This window comes from Homo sapiens, chromosome 9 (assembly GCF_000001405.40).
Source record: "Homo sapiens chromosome 9, GRCh38.p14 Primary Assembly".
Taxonomy (NCBI): domain Eukaryota; kingdom Metazoa; phylum Chordata; class Mammalia; order Primates; family Hominidae; genus Homo; species Homo sapiens.
In genome coordinates, this window is record NC_000009.12 from 91,553,867 (window position 1) to 91,574,716 (window position 20,850).

Below are 20,850 nucleotides of genomic sequence, written 5' to 3' on the forward strand. Positions count from 1 at the left end.
ATCACTTGAGGTCAGGAGTTTGAGACCAGTCTGGACAGTATGGTGAAACCCCATCTCTACTAAAAATACAAAAATCAGCTGAGTGTGGTGGCATGCACCTGTAATTCCAGCTACTCGGGAGGCTGAGGCAGGAGAATTGCTTGAACCCAGGAGGCAGAGGTTGCAGTGAGCCGAGATCACACCACTGCACTCCAGTCTGGGTGACAAAGTAAGTGAGACTCTGTCTCAAAAAATAAAAAATAAATACATATATAAAGTTTATACAACAAACAGCCCAAAATAGACAAAAAAAAAATATTGAAAGAGAAGAAGAAAGTAGGGAGACTGACAGTACCTCACTTCAAGACTTGTCATAAGACTACAGTAATCAAGTGTGAATAGACAAGAATAGACAAATAGACTAATGGAACAGAGTAGCCCAGAAAGAGTCCCACACAAATACAGTCAACTGATTTTTGACAAAGAAGCAAAGGCAAATTAATGGAGGATAGTCTTTTCAACAATTGGTACTGGAGCAACTGGGCATCCACATGCAAAAAAAGGATAGACCTTACACCTTCACAAAAATTAACTCAAAATGGACCAGGAAACGAAATGTGAAAATTCAAGTCTATAAAATGTCTGGAAGATAATATAGGAAAAAATTTAGGTGAACTTCGATTTGACAATGACTTTTTAGACACATTCCAAAAGCACAATACATAAATGAAAAAACTGACGTTGAATTTTATCGAAATTGAAAAACTTGCATTCTGTGGAAAACACTGTTAAGAGAATAAGAAGACAGGCCACAGACTGGGAGAAAATATTTGGGAAAGACATAGTTGATAAAGGACTGATATCCAAAATATACAAAGAATTCTTAAGACTCAAAGTAAGCAAATGAAAAAGTTAATTAAAAAATTAATTTTTAAAATTAACTTGCAAAAGACCTCAACAGATACCTCACTAAAGAAGACATATAGGCCAGGCACAGTGGCTAATGCCTGTAAGCCTAGCACTTTGGGAGGCCGAGGCAGGTGATCACTTGAGCTCAGGTGTTCAAGACCAGCCTGGCCAAGATGGAGAAACCTGGTCTCTACTAAAAATACAAAAATTAGCTGACTGTGGTGGCGCATGCTTGTAAGTCCCAGTTACTCAGGAGGCTGAAGTGGGAGGATCACTTGAGCCCGGAAATCAGAGGTTGCAGTGACCTGAGTTGAGGAGTGTCACTGCACTCCAGCATGGGCAACAGAGCGAGATCCTGTCCAAAAAAAAAAAAAAAAAGACATATAGATGGCAACGAGTACATAAAAAGATACTCAACATCACATGTCATCAGAGAATTTCAAATTCAAGCAACAATAATAAGCTACACACTTATTTAATAAGCTATGCACTTATTAAAGTAGCTGAAATCCAGATCAAATGCTGGTGAGGTTTGGAGCAACAGGAACTCTCTCTCATTGTTCATGTTAGTGTAAAATGACTCAGCCACTTTGGCAGAAAATTTGGCAGTTTCTTACAAAACAAAACATACTCATACCACACAATCCAGCAATCGTGTTCCTTGGTATTTACCCAAATGAGTTGAAAACTTATTTATACACAAAAACTTGCACATGAATGTTTATAGATGCTTTATTCATAATTGCCCAAACTGAGAAGCAACCAAGATGTCCTTTAATATGTCCTATTAAAGGTGGTACATCTCGGTCCTATTAAAGGTGGTACATCCATACAATGGTCTATTATCCAAAAATAAAAAGAAATGAGCTGTCAAGTCAAGAAAAACATGGAGGGAACTGAAATGCATATTGCTAAGTGAAAAAATTTAATGTGAAGAGGGTACACACTGCATGATTCCCACTGCGTGGTAGTCTGGTAAAAGCAAAACCATGGAGACAGTAAAAATTCTGGTAGGAAAAGGAGGGAGGGATGAATAAGTGAAGCACAGAGGACTTTTAGGGCAATGAAACTCCTCTGAATGATACTATCATGGTAGATACATGTCATTATACATTTGTCAAAATCCAAACCAAGAATGAAAGTTAATGCCACTATGGACTTTAGTTAATAATAATATATCAATGTCGGTTCATCAATAGCAAAAAACACACCACACTAATGCAAGATGTTTATAATAAGAAAAATTATGGGGGGTGGGGATGCTGGGGGTTTAGAGGAACTCTGTACTTTCTGCTGAATTTTTCTTTAAACCTAAAACTGCTCTATAAAATAAAGCCTATTAATTTAGCATTTTTTGGGTGTTTTAAGGTCTGCTGTCAGTGCTGAGACAATGCCAGTGACCACCTGCAGATGGTTCATGCTGGTGGCATCCTTGCATCTTGGAGCTTTCTCCAGCTGCCAGAAAATGCTCAATCTGTGGGCAGGGCAGGCTGAAAATACCATACAGTTAACACTCACAGGAGTGTCTCCACCAATAAGAAAAGAAAATCAGGAATCAATATCCCAGTTTCCTCATCCCCGGTTGTCACTCTGCTGAAGTGTTTTCTGCACAGTTGCTCAAAGGGTCCCAGTGGGATTGAGCTCTATTACCCACAACAGTAACCCACTCAACAATGAGTCCTTCGATAACTTTCCTGTGTCCCCATCTCGCTTTCCTATGTCCTCGCTGGGCTTCCTGCCATTACCGCTCAAATTCGTCTCAGGGTTGGCTGTGGGGGAAACCCAAACCAAGACAGGACCAGAACCAAGAAAAAAAGGCTCGCAGCTTCGCCTCAGGCTATCCACAACATTTCCAAATGCCCTTTCATTTTCTTTCTTTCTTTCTTTCTTTCTTAGTTTCTCGCTTTCTTGCTTTCCTTTTTCTTTTTTTTTTTTTTTTTTTTGACAGAGTCTTGCTCTGTCACCCAGGCTGGAGTGCAGTGGTGTGATCTCAGCTCACTGCAGCCTCTGCTTCCTGGGTTCCAGTGATCTTCCTGCCTCAGCCTCGTGGGTAGCTGGAATTGCAGACACTCACCACCATGCTTGGCTAATTTTTGTATTTTTAATAGAGATGGGGTTTCACCATGTTGCCCAGGCTGGTCTCGAACTCCTGACCTCACGTGACCCATCCACCTTGGCCTCCCAAAATGCTAGGAATACAGGCATGAGCCACCGTCCCTGGCCTCATTTCTTTTCTAATTGCATGTGATTTTCACAAGAACCAACCTCAGAAATAAGATAATTTTTTAAATTTTTTTTACTGTTTTCCTATTTGAATGATTGATATTGTTGCAGTTTTGTTTTCCACACTTTTCATTGCAGATGCAGAGTGTTTTAATTATACTATGTATTGAAAAGTTTCTCATGGGCTGGCCTGAGACACAACCAACTTTAACACTGTTTCTATAGGAAAGGGAATTCCAAATGAAAAGGAACAAACTTGGAAACCAAGTTTCAGAATGTGTAAATTGAGTGCCAAAAAGTTTAGGTGGAAGATACCAAGCAAACTGGCCCACCACTACGTGTGACCATGTCTACCAACTTTATCTTAAGGTTTTGTTTAGTTTTTTTGTTTGTTTTTGTTTTTTGGTTTTTACTTCTTTTAAATTTATTTTGATTGCTTGATAATAGACACATTTAGAAGCTTCTATCAGTTTCCCTACATCTGCCAGCGACTGGCATCATTCCATTTTGCTTGGATAATTCAGTAGCATAGCCTCCTGTGGAAATAGCTGCTTCTGGCAAAACTGTTTAGTTTATCATTTAATCAAAACATTTGCATAGTTCCACTCAGTTAGAACACAAAAATGAGGCTGATCGTTTTTGCATAAAGACAAGTCATAAAGTCATAAAGCAAAGGAATGCTTTAAACCATGAAATGAAATTTAATTAAATATTGGAAAGACAAACATTTCACCATGAGCAGACATTCTTAAATAATGGTTAAATAATACACAAAAGAAATTACAGTTTTACATGAAAAGGGTATTTAGTGGTGACTTTATAAATGTTTCCAAAAAACCATTTATAAACGCTGGGCTGATGTGTCTTGCTGCACCCAAGGCATTGCTCTCCTACCTTTCAGCACGCAGTTGGCTGTACCTCATATGTATTTGGCCTGGACGTGTTCTCATGTGACAGTAGCAGTGTCCCCTGAAAAACACCTTGCAAACATTCATACGCTGCCTAGTCTGTGCGATCAGCAACTCACAGGGTCACCTAAAAACATACTGCCCCTCTCCAGGTTGAGGAGAAAGGCTTGGGGAAAATTGGAGAATCCAAGTGTCACCCAACACGGCGGGGCTCAGAGGCACTGAAAGTCACTTGAGATGCGGAGGGCACTTGGAAGGCTGACTGGGTCCTGTGGACCAACAAGTTTAAGAAAGGATCTATCCTAAGGGAAAAGGCAGTGTTTCTAAAGTCAGCATCCATCCCATCCTTTTCAAGTGGGAAAGAGCTGCATAGGAGGCCCTTTGGGATTCAGGAAACATCCAGCAAGGAAGCCAAACCGCTTTAGACAAAATCCACAAACTTGAGAATCTGATCAGGACTCTGGGACCTCTATAGTTTTCTTCTCAGCAGCCTCATTAAGATATAATTCAATATTATGTAGTTCATTCAATTAAAGCATACAACTCCATAATTTTTAATATGTTGTCAAGGTTGTGCAACCATCATCACAATCTAACCTAATTAGAATATTTTCAGTTTCCACCCTCAAAGACCAGGCACCCATTAGCACTCACTCCTCATAACCCTCCTAACCAGCCCTGCCCTAATCAACGCCTAAACTACTTTCTGTCTCTGTAAACTTGCTTATCCTGGACATCTCATATATACAGAATCACAAAATATGCAGGCTTGTGTGACTGGCTTCTTTCACTTAGCATAATGTTTCAAGTTCATCATATCGTAGCATGCGTAAGTATTTCATTTCTTTTCATGCCAATAATGTTCCCTTATAAGAATATACTACATGTTATGTATCCATTTGTCAGTTGATGGAGAATTGGATTGTTTCCACTTTTTCACTGTTATAAATAATGCTGCTGTGAACATTCGTGTCAAGTTCTTGTATATGTGTATGTTTTTAATTCCCTTGGGTATAAATACCTGAAAGTAGAATTACTGGAACATGTAGTTTAACATTTTGAGTATCTACTAAACTGTTTTCTACAGCATTCCCATCAGAAACAGAGGAGGATTCCAATTCACCGATCTTGTTAACACTGTTATTGTCTGTCTTTTTTATTGTAGCCATCTAGTGGGTAAGAAATGGTATCTCATTGTTATTTTGATTTGCGTTTCCCTAAGGACTAAAAATGTTGAGCAACTTTTCATGTGTTTATCAGTCATTTGCATATTTCTTTGGAGAAATATCTGCTGAAGTCATTTGTACTTTTGAACATTGGGTTGTCTTTTTATTATTGAGTTGTAAGAGTTCTTCATATATTCTGGATACAAGTCCCTTATTAGATGTATGGTTTGCAGATGTCTTTTCCCGTTCTGTGGGTTCTATTTTTGCTTTCTCAATAGCATCATTTGCAGTGCAAAAGTTTTTGGTTTTGATATAGAGCAATAATCTTTTATTTTCTTTCATTGCTTGTGCTTTTGGTGTCGTATGTAAGATGTCCTTGCTTAATCTAAAGTCATGAAGATTTACTCCTATATTTTCTGCCAGGAGTTTTATAGTTTTAACGTTTCCATTTGGGTCTATGATCCATTTTTAGTTAATGTGTGTGTATGATGTAACATAGGGGTCCTTGTCATTCTTTTGTGTGTGGCCATCCAGTTGTTCCTGTATCTTTTGTTGAAAAGAATATTCTTTCTTTATTGAATTGTCTTGGCACCCTTGTTGAAAAACAGTTGACTATAAATCTAAGAGTTTATTACTGGACACTCAATTCTATTCCCTTGACCTATATGTTTATCCTTATGCCGGTACAACACTATCTGTTGTAGTGTATGCAACTACAAACACTACCTTTACGGTAAGTTTCACAGTCAAGAACAATGACTCCTCCAACTTTTTTTTTCAAGATTATTTTTACTATTCTAGGTCCTTTGCATTTCCATATAAATTTTAAGACTAGTTTGTCAATTTCTGGAAAAAGCTACCTGGGATTTTGCTAGGAATTATGTTGACTCTATAGATCAATCTGGAGAGTATTGCCATTTTAACAGCAACAAATCCAAAACAATGGGATGTCTTTCCATTTATTTAGATTGCCTTTAATTTCTTTTAACAATATTTTATAGTTTTCATTATACAAATTTTTGTACTTCTTTTGATAAATTTATATCTAAATATTTTATTCTTTTTGATGCTACTTTAAATGGAACTGTTTTCTTAATTTTATTTTTAGAATCCTTGTTCATTGCAAAAGAATAAAAATAGAATTGACTTTTGTACATTGATCTTTCATCCTGCAATCTTACTCAACTCATCTCTTATTTCTAATAGTTTTTAGTAGATTTTATTAGGATTTTGTGTCTATAAAGTCATATCATCTGATAATTTACTTCTTCCTTTTTAATCTGGATTTTTTTCTCTCTACTTGTTTCTTTCTTTTGTTCTTTTTTCCCCTGACTGCCTCCAGTCCATTGTTACATAGAAGTGGTGAGAGCAGACATCCTTATCTTGTTTCTGATCTTAGAAGGAAAGCATTCCTTCCTTCACCCTTAAATATGATGTTAGCTGCAGGCTTTTTGTAACATTCCTGTCTAGAACACTGAATAAGTTTGCCCCTATTGCTCACCAGCATTCTTCTGTTTTCTGAAGCTGGATGTGCTCGTAGCGTGTTAGTAAATGTATAACAACTGGTTCTTCAAAACATTTTTTGTTGCATTTGGGGATTTCTGTGGTGTAAATACTCCCACCATGGTTTAATCAAGCTACAAACCTGACATCACTGAATACAGAGTTGGGAAGAGATACTCAGTATCACATCAGTATATAGTATTTCCACTACACAGATACAATAAACATATATAATTTTAAGAACATAAATGGACTGGGTTCCCCTCTATTTCTAGTTTGTTGAAAAGTTTTTGTCATGAAAGGGTGTTGGATTTCTGTGAAACCCTTTTTATATCTATTAGGCTTTATTCTACCAATATAGTTCATTGTATTAATTGAGCCCTCACAATGGCTTTCTGCTTCTACATTTGCTACTACATGAGTTGCTTATTTGTAGAAAACCCTGTATAATAGCATATTTTGCTAAGGAATCGAAGAGGGAAGTTAGAGGCTGAACTTTAGTTGAAAAGTGTGTTCCAGCCGGGTGCCGTGGCTCACGCTTGTAATCCTAGCACTTTGGGAAACTGTGGTGGGCGGATCATCTGACGTCAGGAGTTCGAGACCATCCTGGCCAACATGGTGAAACCCCATCTCTACTAAAAATACAAAAATTAGCCAGGCGTGGTGATACACGTCTGTAGTCCCAGCTACTCGGGAGGCTGAGGCCAAGAAGAGTGGCTTGAACCTGGGAGATGGAGGTTGCAGTGAGCCAAGATTGTGCCACTGCACTCCAGCCTGGGCAACAGAGTGAGGCTATGCCTCAAAAAATAAAATAAAATAAATGTGTTTTGGGGGGAAAGAGAGAAAGCAGAAACAGGAAACTGATGATGTCCACTTCAATGATGAAGGGAAAGTAATTGGAATCTGTACAGAAAAGAGCCAGAGGGACGGTCAAGTGGGTACATAGACTTTAAGAGGCATTTTTCACAAAGTCATCATTGTTATAGTCATTAAAAATAAACTCTGAAATTACAATCAACTATTTTATCAATAATGATAATAAGTACTCAAAACTCATCACTGCCTAATTAGTTTGCTACATTTTACTGCTACTTATGCTCTTAAAAATATGTATGCTCATTGTATCTGTGTAGTGGAAATACTGTATACTGATGTGATATTTAATATCTCTTCCCAACTCTGTACTCAGTGATGTCAGGTTTGTATCTTGATTAAGTTATTGTGGGAGTATTTACATCATAGAAATCAGCAACTGTAACAAAAAAATTTTCTGAAGAGCCAACTGTTACACATTTACTAGTGCACCACCACTAGCACACTCAGATTAAGAAAACAGAAGTGGGATGGGTGCTGTGGCTCACCCCTGTAATCCCATCACTTTGGGAGGCTGACGTAGGTGGATCGCCTGATGTCAGGAGTTCCAGACCAGCCTGGCCAGCAGGGTGTAACCTTGTCTCTACTAAAAATACAAAAATTAGTCAATCATGGTGGTACGCACCTGTAATCCCAGCTACTTGGGAGGCTGAGGCAGGAGAATTGCCTGAACCCAGGAGGTGGAGGTTACAGTGAGCCAAGATTGCGTCATTGCACTCCAGCCTGGGCAATAGAGGGAGACTCAGTGTCAAAAAAGGAAGGAAGGAAGGAAGGAAGGAAGGAAGGAAGGAAGGAAGGAAGGAAGGAAGGAAGGAAGGAAGGAAGGAAAGAAAAAGAAAGAAAGAAAGAAAGAAAGAAAGAAAGAAAGAAAGAAAGAAAGAAAGAAAGAAAGAAAGAAAGAAAATAAAAGAGGGATGCAGGTGAGCAATAGGAAAACATTATATAATTTTCTAGACAGGCATGTTAAAGAGAAATATATAGCTCTTTCCTACTGTTTTTCCCTGGGAAGGATTAAGAATAAGATAAATTCAATTCACGAAAGGTTTACTGAAGGCAACTTCCTGTGTGTTCAGCACTGTGGTAGAAATCCAGCATAAATGCTTAGAATGATTTATGCAAAGGGTGCCTCTTTGTGGAGATGGAATTAAATGATCCACAGAAGTTTCTTTTATTTCAAAGAATCTATTCATCTATAAAGAAATGCATAATACAAGGCCTAGTAGCCAAGATAATTGTTTTTCTCCAGACTGTTGAATTGCAACATCATTTTCTTCTATTTACATTTAAAGCATTCGGGTCATTCAACGTTTGAGCTCCTTCTAAGATTTATATAAACAGATTTTTGAAATGCAGATAATTGTTATTTGATGTAGCTCTTCCTTATTGCTTTAAAAATGACTTAGAGAACTCAAATAAATTAATCTGGAGTAATCTTCTTTTTAGTGATCCAAAGCAATTGTCTTTCAATAAACCCTGTGCTTATAAGAGCTGCATAATCCAGTCGGTGTCCCTGTCTCCTCTTGCTTTTGCCTGAGCTACTGATGTGTATAGCAGGACACAGGAAGAGAATCACAGTCATCTTAAAAAAAATTATTCCCTTCATTTTAATCTGTCATCTTTGCTGAACAATATCATTTTAAGAGCTTAATCTTGAAAACAGAGCCACATTTAATTTTTATTTTATTAGAAAAATTCTTTCTGTCTACACAACCACAAATAGTGTTTAGAGATCCCAAATTAAATCTGCTGTTGATGTGAAGTGGCCAAGCTCGTGGTGGTGTTGATAGGCACTCAACAGCACTGGGGCATCCATAAAAATATTCATGGGGCTTCCTCTTCCAACCACATGAAGCCAGAATGGACATGAAACTTCTTCCCATTTCAAATATGGGAATGCTGAATCTAGTAGAGAAAAAAATAAATTTTAAAAAATAAGCATGGATGGGTGCAGTCATTCACATCTGTAATCCTAGCACTTTGGGAGACCTAGGCAGGTGGATTGCTTGAGGTTAGGAGTTCAAGACCAGCCTGGGCAACATAGCAAGATCCTGTCTCTACAAAAAATTTTAAAATGTGCCTGTGGTTCCAAGTACCTGGGAGGCTGAGATGGGAGGATTGCTGGAGCCCAGTAATTTGAGGCTGCAGTGAGCTATAATCGCACCAGTGCACTTCCAGCTGGGTAACAGAGTGAGAGAAGAAAGAAAAGAAAAGAAAAGAAAAGAAAGAGAGAAAGAAGAAGGGAGGGAGGGAAGGAAGGAAGGATGGAAGGAAGGAAGGGAGAGAAGAAAGAAGGAAGGAAGGCAGGAAGGGAAGGAAGGAAGGAAGGGAAAGAGGGAGGGAGGGAGGAAGGAAGGAAGGAAAAGAAAGAAGAAGAGAAAGAAAGGAAGGGAGAAAAGTTCGACTATGCAGTTTATCTCACAAGAAAGAAAATGCCAGACACAAGGAACAATCGGAGAGTGGGAGTGTCAACCTTGCACGATCTTGCTATAGCATCCTGGGGAATGAGAATGGTATTAGATGAAGTTATAGGTCAAACAGCCAGACTTGGATGTTAACACCCACAGAAAGACAAGATATGAGGCTGTGGGTCCAAGTGTTAAGACCTTGGTATAAATTGGGGGTTTCTAAAGGTTATAATGTCGGTTAAGAGGTGATAAAAAGTTCCTCCCACCAGCCAGGGTAACGACAAAGAGGCTTCTTCCATCAAAGGATCTGGAAAGAAAACAAAATATCTTTCATTAGGAATAAAAATGCCAAGCCAGAGCCACATGTGAGTCTAGAATTTATACTGTCCTCGTGCTGTAAGACGCTTCAAGGCAAGAAACTCACAAAACTGTAATGGATTAAGAACTACCCCAGAAGAAATAAGCACACAGCTCTTTTGGAGAAACAGCTTCACAATGCATGAAATGTGGGGTTGCCACAGAAAAAACAATCTCCAACAAAGGAAGGATTTTTTTAAGCAAACAAACAAAAAAAAGCACAGACCATGAATTGAAATACTTTTTAAAATCCACTACATAAAAATTAACATGTGAAAGACATTATGGAGTAAAAGGAAAAGGGAGATCTTTCACTGAGAGAAGATATTTTCATGTGCTTAGCTTGTAGTATATTAAAATCTGAATATGTAAAGAAACACCACAGATAAAGAAGAAAAATACAAAAACCCAATTAGAAAGACAAAGGTTATTGTAGGGGCCATGGTAAGTTGCATACCTAATGTCCTTTCTCTCATCTTCCCTGCAACTTTGAATCAGATTTGATTATGGTAACAGTGAACATACTCCTGGATAAGAGTCTTGCTTTTCCAGTCTTTCTTAGGTCCAAGGGTAGCCATGTGGCATGGCATAGGTCTGGCTAATGAGACACAAAGAAAGAATCTGCTGAGGGGGCTTATAGGAAAATCATTTCTCTCCGGATAGAAAGGGGGGGGGTGGATCTTACTAGAGCCATGCCTCCCTCTGCCTTGAAGGCTAATGTGATATCTAAAATGATCATGTAGACACAGGCAAGAGAGAAAGGCCCAGAGATGGCCAGAGGCAGAGGGTCTGCCATCAATGAGCCATTGACACAGAAGTGCTAAGTGGATTTAACATTTGAAAATCAATCAGTGTAATCCACCATATTAACATATTGAAAAAGAAAAACAATACAAACATGTCAACAAATGCAGAAAAACCATTTGATGATAAAAAAAGAATTAATAAACAGATTTATTAACTGGTCAGTCAGACTCATTGAAGGTGGAAAAACTCAGACTGTTTTTCCTCTGCTCACACCACAACAATCAACCAGAAGACTTCCGTGACTGAAGGGCCATGGAGTTTCCTACACACACAAAGCAAGCAATCAGTTCTGCAGCAGACACCAACTGGGTGTCCTCCAATTCAATTCTGACTCTATCTACCTGGAGATAGCATCAAATCCTGCAGGCTGAGGGCTCAGTCTCTCACACTACCCCCTCTTCAGACACCAATCACAAGTCTGGGCCTCCAGAACTTCTAACTGGTTAGCTTCAAGTTGGGCTTCCTACAACCCTTTCTTCAGGTTTGATAATTTACCAGAGTGGCTCACAGAACTCAGGGAAACACTTATGTTTACTGGTTTATTATAAATGATATTAAGGCCGGTCGCATGCCTATAATCCCAGCACTTTGGGAGGCCAAGGCAGGCAGATCACATGACGTCAGGAGCTCAAGACCAGCCTGGACAATGTGGTGAAACCCCATCTCTACTAAAAATACAAAATTAACCGGATGTGGTGGCGCACGGCTGTTATCCCAGCTACTTGGGAGGCTGAGACAGGAGAATTGCTTGAACCTGGGAGGCAGAGGTTGCAGTGAGCCGAGATCACGCCATTGCACTCCAGCCTGGGGCATAAGAGTGAAACTCCATCTCTAAATAAACAATATTACAAGGTAACAGATAAAGAGACACATACGGTGAGGTATGTGGGATAGGTGCAGAGCTCCCATCCCCTCCCCAAGCATGGCACCCTCCAGGAACGTCCACGTGTTCAGCTATCCAGAAGTTCTTCAAATCCTATTCTCTTGGGTTTTTATGGATGCTTCATTTTGTAGGCATGATTGATTACATCACTGGCCATGCTTCTCTGCCTTACCCGGAGTTTGAGGAGTAGGGCTGGAAGTCCCAACCCTGTAATCCTGCCTTAGAGGTCATAGGCCCAATTGTTTCTCATATATATGTCTTTGCAGTGACCAGGCCCCATTTTGAAGCTGCCTAAGGGCTGCCAACCATCAGTCAACTCATTGGGATACAAACAGACGTCACTTAAGCGAGTCTAAGGATTTTAGGAGTTCTATGCCAGGAAACGGGGATTGAAGACTAAATATATATTTTATCTGGCCTGTTGCTCAGGCTGGTCTCAAACTCCTGGCCTCCAGGGGTCCTCCTGTCTCAGTCTCCCAAAGTGCTGAGACTACAGGTGTGAGCCACCACTCCCACTCACCCTGTATCTTTTAATATGGTATTTTACATTAATTGATTTTCAGATGTTAAACAACGTTGCATTGCTGGTAGATACTCCCACTTGATCGTAGTGTAATGCTTATTATTATTATTTGTTGCTGGATTAAGTGCGTTAATATTTTTAAAGACTTTTTATGTGTATGTTCACAAGTGATATTGATCTGTGGCTTTCTGTACTTGCAATATTTTTCTTTTGGCTTTGTTATTACGGTAATACTGGCCTCATGAAATGAGTTGGGATGTGTTCCTTGCTCCTTGACTGTGGCAGAAGAACAGGCAAGTTTCTAAACTGTTTGGATGCAGAGCCTTTGACTCTGAAGGTAGGAGGTAGAATTTTATCACAATGCACGCGCTACCTTCCCAACTGAGCCTGGCCTCAGGACTTGGACCTTAGGTTAGGGGTTCTATGCTTGACACATACTAGTAGTGATTGATAGGGACAGGATGTTTATGTTCTGAAGTTTTTGTATAATCCTTTTTATTTTTCCTCCTTAAATATTTGAAGATCTTCACTAGTAAATCCATCTGAGCCTGGGTTTTTCTTTTCTTTCTTTTTTTTTTTTTTTTTTTTTTTTGAGGTTGAGTTTTGCTCTTGTTGCCTAGGCTGGAGTGCAATGATGCAATCTCAGCTCACTGCAACCTCCGCCTCCTGGGTTCAAGCAATTCTCCTGTCTCAGCCTCCTGAGTAGCTGGGATTACAGGTGCTTGCCACCAGGCCCAGCTAATTTTTGTATTTTTAGTAGAGATGGGGTTTCACCATGTTGGCCAGGCTGGTCTCGAACTCCTGACCTTAGGTGATCCTCCCACCTTGGCCTCCCAAAGTGCTGGAATTACAGGCATGAGCCACTGTGCTCGGCCAGGTTTTTATTTATGGGGCAATTTAATCACCAATTAAAACTCCTTACTTGATTTTCTATTTCTTCTTGAAACAGTTTCAGTTATGTCTTTCTAGGAATTTGTCCATTCCATTATGGTTCTTGGGTTTGTTTGCATGCAATTGTTTATAATATCTTTCTAATCCATTCAATTTCTTTAGTCTGAGTGATGTTCCCTATTCTGTTTCTAATTTTGGAATTGGTGTCTTCTCTCTTTTCTTCTTAATCAGTCTACCTAGTGGTTTATCAATTCTGTTGATCTTTCCAAAGAATGAATTTTTTATTTCATTGATGTTTCTGTATTGGTCTTTTTAAAAATTGACTTTTTTCTGGTCTGATTTTCATTATTGCCTTTTTTCTTTTTCTACTTACTCTTGCTTTAATTCACTCCTTTTTCTAGGGTTTTGGTTTTTTATGTTTTGTTTTAGTCTGGACACTACAATGAAGCAGGATATTTCCCTGACCTCTCTGTGGGTGGGAACTGGAGTGCACGGGCACTGGAACTAGCCACTACTTCAGCACCGACAGGGCAAACTCCACTTGCTTGAACCTGCTGCGTTCCACCCCTCGTGGGAGGGGGACTTCAGGTGAGCAGGTGCTGGAGCCAGGACGAGCACTTGTGGGCTCTGGCAGGAGCAAAACTCTATGCGGGCCTGCCTCAACATCTGCAAGGGGTACCCATGACCCCTGAAGCCCCAGAGGGAGTGTTACAGTACTCCTTTAGCTCTGCTGTCCACGGGCAGCCTAAGTGTTAACAGCTCAGTCAACCTTCTGCCTTTTCGCCTGAGGCAGCTGCCTCCTGCCAGCGAGGGCAAAGGGTCAGTGTGACAGCCTTTTACATCCACACTCGTGACACCCAAGCTCTTGTCCAGCGTCCAGGAAAAATAAGGTCACATGAACAAATTGAAGGATGGTAAATGTCAGGGATTTATTGCCGATGGAAGTGGCTCTCAGCAGGAAGGGGATCTGAAAAAGGGACAGAGTGGGAAGGTAATCTCCTGATGTCCAGCCTTCTCCGGCCAGATTCTTCCCTAAAGTTACACTATCAAGCTGTCCCTCTGAAGTCAAGCTGCTTCTCTCTGATGTTCAGCCATAGTCTCTGATATCCAGTGGCTTCTCCTCTCTCTGCTGGCTGAGCCTGGGGTTTTTATAGACACAGGATGGGATGGGGTAGGGGTATGGGTGGTTTTGGAAAAGGCAACATTTGATGGGGAAAACAGGGATGTAAGTTCTCACTTTGGGCAGTGGTTTCAGGCTTTTTGGCTTGAAGGTGGGACCCTTGCTGAGCACTCACCATCTTCTGTCCAGAATTTCCCTGCATCCTGTCCCTATCAATCACTACTAGTATGTGTCAAGCATAGAACCCCTAACTTAAGGTCCAAGTCCTGAGGCCAGGCTCAGTTGCGAGGGTAGCATGTGCATTGTGATAAAATCCTACCTCCTGCCTTCAGAGTCAAAGGCTCTGCATCCAAACAGTTTAGAATCTTTCCTATTCTTCTGCCACAGTCAAAAGAGGATCCACAGCCCCGTGTGGCCCTCTCCCTTCTGTGCTCACAACCCTTCAAGGCACCCTGCTGCGGAGTTAAGCACAACTTTTTTTCCTGACCTTGGGCAGCTGGCAGCTCCCCACCCCATGCCCTCACAGAAGCCTAGGGCTTCCCTCTCCAGGATCAGGCATTCCTTCCATCCCCCACCCTCCTAAATTTAGGACAGGGATGCTTTAGTGCCACTGTCTCTCTTCCGGGACTGACCACACTTCATTCCAAATAGGAAAAGATAGAGGGGAAAAAAGGGAGGGGCGGGAGACCTGGATGCTGGAGAGTTACCCCCTACAAGCTGCCCTCAGGGACCAGGTGCCCAATGCCCCACGGACTGCAGTGAACCCAGAGGGAGCCCTCAGTGCCCAGAGGGAGCCCTCAGACCCCTGCTTTGCTTGCCCCCTGGGCTCCATGCCCTTGATTCTCAGGCCAGAGAGGAAAGGGTCCCTTCCCTCTCACTCTGGCAGCTGGTGGAGGGTAGGATGCAGCACTGAGCCCTTTTTCTAGCTTCTTGATGAGGAAGCTTGTTATTCTTTTTTAAAACTTTCTTTTTTCAAATATAGGAGTTTAAACCTATAAATTTCCCCCTAAGCACTGATGGCATCCTATAAATTTTGAAATGTGGTACTTTCATTTTCATTCAATTTGAGATATTTTTAATTTTGTTTGTGATTCCTTCTTTGATCCATGAATACTTGGAAACTGGTAGTTTAGTTTCCAAATGTGTAACCGTTTTCCATATTTATTTCTCTTGTTGATTGCTAATTTAATTTTTAGTCACAGAACATTTGCATTATTGTAAGCCCTTTACATTTTTTGAAACTTGCTTGATAAGCTAAAAAAAAAAGATCTCCCCAAAGGTATTCATTTCCTAATCCCTGAAACCTGTGAATGTGACACTATATGGAAATAGGGTCTTTGTAGGTGTGATTAAATTAAGGATCTCAAGATTTAAGTCATGCAGCCACAAGCCAAGGAATGCTGCCAGCCTCCAGAAGCCAGAATTTGCCAGGAAGGGATCATCCTCTAGAGCCTCTGCAGGAAGTGCAGCCCTGCTGACTTCTGGATTTCAGCCCAGTAATACTGATTTCAGACTGGAAGTTTGGAATTCTGGAGTCCAGACTTGGGAGAGGATACATTTCTGTTGTTTTAGGCCACCACATTTGTGGCAACTGGTTACAACAGCCACAGGAAACTAATGCAACTCGTTTCATGGCTTAGAATAGGGTCTAGGGTCTATTCTGTAGCACAGCGGTCCCCAACTTTTTTGGCACCGGGGACCAGTTTCATGGAAGACAATTTTCCCACAAACGGGTGGAGTGGGTGTTGTGGGATAGAGGTGGTGGATGGTTTCAGGATGAAACTATTCCACCTCAGATCATCACATATTAGGTTCTCATAAGGAACACACAACCTAGATCCCTCACATATGCCGTTCACAATAGGGTTCGTGCTCCCACGAGAATCTAATGCCACCACTCATCTGACAGGAGGTGGAGCTCAGGCAGTAATGCACACCCGCCGCTTACCTCCTGCGGTGCAGCCTGGTTCCTAACAGGCCACAGACTGGGACTGGTTCCTGCCAGGGGTTGGAAATCACTGCTGTAGGATGTTCCTTGAAGTCCAGGAAAGAATGTGCATTCTGTTTTGGGGTAGCGTGTTCCATATATGTCCCTTAGGTCAAGTTGGTTGATAGTGTTGTTCAAGTCTTCTATACCCTTCTTGACTTTATGAATTGCTGTTCTATCAATATTTGAAAGACTATAATTAAAATCTCCGACTTTATTTCTGCTCTCAATTCTATCAGTCCTTGCTTCATGTATTTTGAGACCCAGTGTTAGGTGCATTTACATTTATAATTGCTATATCTTTCTGATATGTTTACCCTCTTATAATTGTGAAATGCCTTCTCTTCTCTTGTGATTTTTCTTCTTTCAAAATCAGTTTCATCTGATATTAGTATAGCTAATCCAGCTCTCTTTGCCTACTGTCTGCCTAGTGTACATTGTGTCATCCTTTTATTATCTACCTACTTGTTTCTATGAATCTAAAATGTGTCTCTTATAGATAGCCTATAGTTGCATGGTTTCAGGGTGAAACTATTCCACCTCAGATGGAAGTCTGTGACATCTGCAAAAGATGTCCTAGGAGAGAAAGTGGGAGAGAGAGAGAGGGCATAGATTCAATTGTTTCTCATACAGACATGTCTGTAATTTCCACAATTACTGCCCTACCCTGCAATTCAGTTGGTTTCCCAACATCCAGCAGTTCTCCTGCTTAGCTTCTCCAGTGAATAATACTCATCTCATCTATAGGGGCAGTGGTTGGAGGACCTGGAGGAGTGACTTGCCTGAGTGTGGAGGGTGAAGGTGTTCTAGAGTCTGACTGTTCCACAGTCTCCAGCCAGCCCTCATTAATCCAGCTGACCACTGTATGTACTGCCTCAAATTCCTGAGCATTTCACAAGTTCTGCAAGGCAGAACACTCTCTTCCCATTAGCCTCAATCTCTACAGGCACCATGGATTGTAAATTTCTTCCCCCTTCTAAACCAGTTGTATCATCTGATTTTTCTCTCCCAAAAATCTGTTGAAATTCCTTTTTTTCCCCATCATCTTCTGCACATTGCTTCCACCTCATGATCAAAACGACTGCTCAAATTCTGGCTACTACATCTGCATTTCATTCAGCAGGAAAGAGAGGGAAATAAGAAGGACATTCCATCCTCTTAAAGACTCTTCCTGGAAGTTACTTGCAACATTCTGCTACCTTCTCCTTGACCAAGTCCTACCCACATGGCCACACTAAACGCAGTGGAGGCTGAGAAATGTGGTCTTCATTCAAGACAGCATGTGTCTAACTAAAAGTTGTGAGTCTATAGCCAAAGGAAAAGGGAAGACAGAGATTGGTGGACGTTTCTGTCACACTCAAGACAATACAATGTTTCAAAAAAAAAAAAATTAAACAAGCTCATAAAAAGAATGGCTGTTCATTGAAATTACCCACATTAGGCCATCTCAGGTGAGTAGCAACTAATAGTGCCTATTAAGTATCTAATAAATATTTGTCAGGTATTTATTTGTCTGAATGGATGAACCTGAATCAACCATCAGCCTGAGAGAGGGGTGGCTTTCTGTTTACTATGACCCACGACAGGTGACAACATCCATTTTTTTCTTTTACTGAGTTTATCAACAAACAGAAAACCTCAACCTGCTTCTGACATCATATGCCAGCTTTGCATCTTGCTACTATATTATACCTGGTCTTAAACCTCCAGGCACACTAACCGGTGCCAAGTAGAAAGACTGGAGAGAACAAAGAGAAAAATCAGGAAACAGCAAGAAGTCTTTGACTCACATGTACCAACAAAGCCTCTCCCAACACAGAGAAATGGTGATAACGTAATCACAGGCATGCTAGCCATTGTTCCAGTGGACTTGAAGCCAAAGCCGGGATTAAATAAATGGCTGGCATTTTTCAAAGAACCAGAGGCAGCACTGTTTAAAAGAGCTGACAGCTGTGAGATAGAGTATTCTTATTACAGAGGCTTAGCGGGGAGACTTAAAGTAAACCTTTCCACCAGCAGAGCACTCTCAAATGGGAGAAAAAGTAGAAAAGCTCCCTCTATGAGAGCAGAAAAATGCACGAGGATATAGGCATGGTTCTGGGGCTGTCATAAAGATGTGAGAAGACCTTAGTAAAATATCTTCAATGTTATTAAAACCTTACTCTTTAGAGGTAAGAAGAAATATGGGGGGCAAAAATAAAGAGGGAACAAAAAGGAACAGTGTTTTGTTTAACCCATGGAGATGCAAGTTAAAATTTGGATGAGTCTACGTAGCTTTTCTTTGTACTTCCCATAAAGATCAAAATAAAGGTTCTTTGTTCATCCTGAAAATATGCATTGAACGGAAATATTGATAGGACCCTACATTCTAGTGATGGCAAGAAAGGTAACTAGGAAGTGAGCACACAGACTGTTTCAGTAGTAATGGCGGCTAGAAAAAGGCACCAATTGGGCAGTAGGAGACAGAGGGGTGATTAGTGGGGTAAGCTGCTTTAGACAGTGGGGCCAAGACAAGAATCTCTGGGGAAATGCCTTTCAAGTAGACACTTGAAGTGTAAGAAGAAGCTAGTCTCATGGCCAGGAAGTATGAATGGGGTGGAGTGAGGACGGAGTGAATTTCAGGCCGCAGGGTGAGCAAGGCATGGGGGGTGGGGCTGGGAACGCTCGCTGTTGTTTGTTGGTGAGCTGAGGCCCCAGTGCTGTGGCATGTGTGTGGCCCATGTGAGACAGGAGAAGGAGGAAGGAGGCACATCCAGGAAAGATGTGCTGGCCATGGGAAGGGATCCCATGCTGGGAGCATTGGAAGCCATCAGAGGGAATGAGGTCAGGTAGTGTCATTAACATTTACATTGCACACAGGTCACTGTGGCTACTGGGTGGAGGATGAGCAGAGGAGACAGATTAGGGAAATGAGCTCGAGGGCTGTTGCAGTAGCTGAGGTCAGAGGGAGTATGGCTTTGCTGAGTAGTTGTAAAATGGAAAGATGGAGAAAGAAATGAGAGATACTAGTGGAAGTACAAAAGGACTTGGAGGTTGATATGGTTTGGCTCTGTGTCCCCACCGAAATCTCATCTTGTAGCTCCCATAATTCCCACATGTTGTGGGACGGACCCAGTGGGAGATAACTGAACCATGGGGGCAGGTCTTTCCTGTGCTGTACCCATGATAGTGAATAAGTATCATGAGATCTGATGGTTTTAAAAACGGAAGTTTCCCTACACAAGCTCTCTCTCTTTGCCTGCCACCATCTAAGTAAGATGTGACTTGCTCCTCCTTGCCTTCTGCCACTGTGAGGCCTCCCCGGCCATGCGGAACTGTGAGTCCATTAAACCTCTTTCTTGTGTAAATTGCCCAGTCTCCAGTATGTCTTTATCAGCAGCATGAAAACAGACTAATGCAATGGTGGAGATGAAAACTTTGTTATACAGCTGCCATTGAAAATACTAGATTTAAGGCCAGGCACGGTGGCTCATGCCTGTAATCCCAGCACTTTGGGAAGCCAAGACACATGGATTGCTTGAGCTCAGGAGTTTGAGACCAGCCTGGGCAACACGGTGAAATCCCATCTTTACTTTAAAAAAATACAAAAATTAGCCAACATGTTGGTGCATGCCTGTAGTCCCAGTTACTCAGTGGGGCTGAGGCAGGAGGATCACCTGAGCCTTGGGAGGTCGAGGCTGCAGTGAGCCATGATTGTGCCACTGTACTCCAGCCTGGGCAACAGAGTGAGACCCTGTCTCAAAAAACAAAACAAAACAAATAAAACCTAGATTTATTATCCTGTTTGATACCTGAAAACACCTGTGTGAAGCCACAATATAAAAAAAAAGAAGTCCCACAGGCAATAACCTCCTATGTTAGTAGGGAACTGGCATCAGCATTTTAGAGTCACGTCTCATACTTAACCAAATGAGGAAAAATTAAAATTTAGTAAGTATGATTTATCATGATATGGTAGACCTGTTACAGAAAATAACAACCATAAGTGAGAAGTGTTATTACCAGGCACAGGAGCCCAGGTGTTCTTGTGTGTGTGTGTCTGTGTCTGTCTGAGTGTGTGTCTGAGAGACTTAGGATTCTCTAGAATATGAGGCCTATAGCAGGGGTCCTTCCTGTCTGGATCTAAAGGCAATACTATTTATAGATGCCCCCCAAAAGGAGATGGGAGGCAGATAGAGCTTCCTGGTTTTCTGATGTTTTTGCCCCTCAAGTGGCAAAAAGAAAAGTATAACAAAGATTATCTTCCTTGACCAAATTTGTCAGTTTCGTCAAGCCTGACCAGGCCCTGTTCTTGGCCATGTATGCCCAATTTTAGC

General features: G+C 41.1%; 1 annotated feature.

The window, feature by feature from the left end:
* Window positions 18,069–18,605: an enhancer, noted in NCBI's record as "NANOG hESC enhancer chr9:94334217-94334753 (GRCh37/hg19 assembly coordinates)". NCBI's record gives its function as "activates a minimal SCP1, AML or CMV promoter by ChIP-STARR-seq in primed H9 embryonic stem cells {active_cell/tissue: H9 hESC(primed)}" and the evidence as "EXISTENCE:reporter gene assay evidence [ECO:0000049][PMID:30033119]".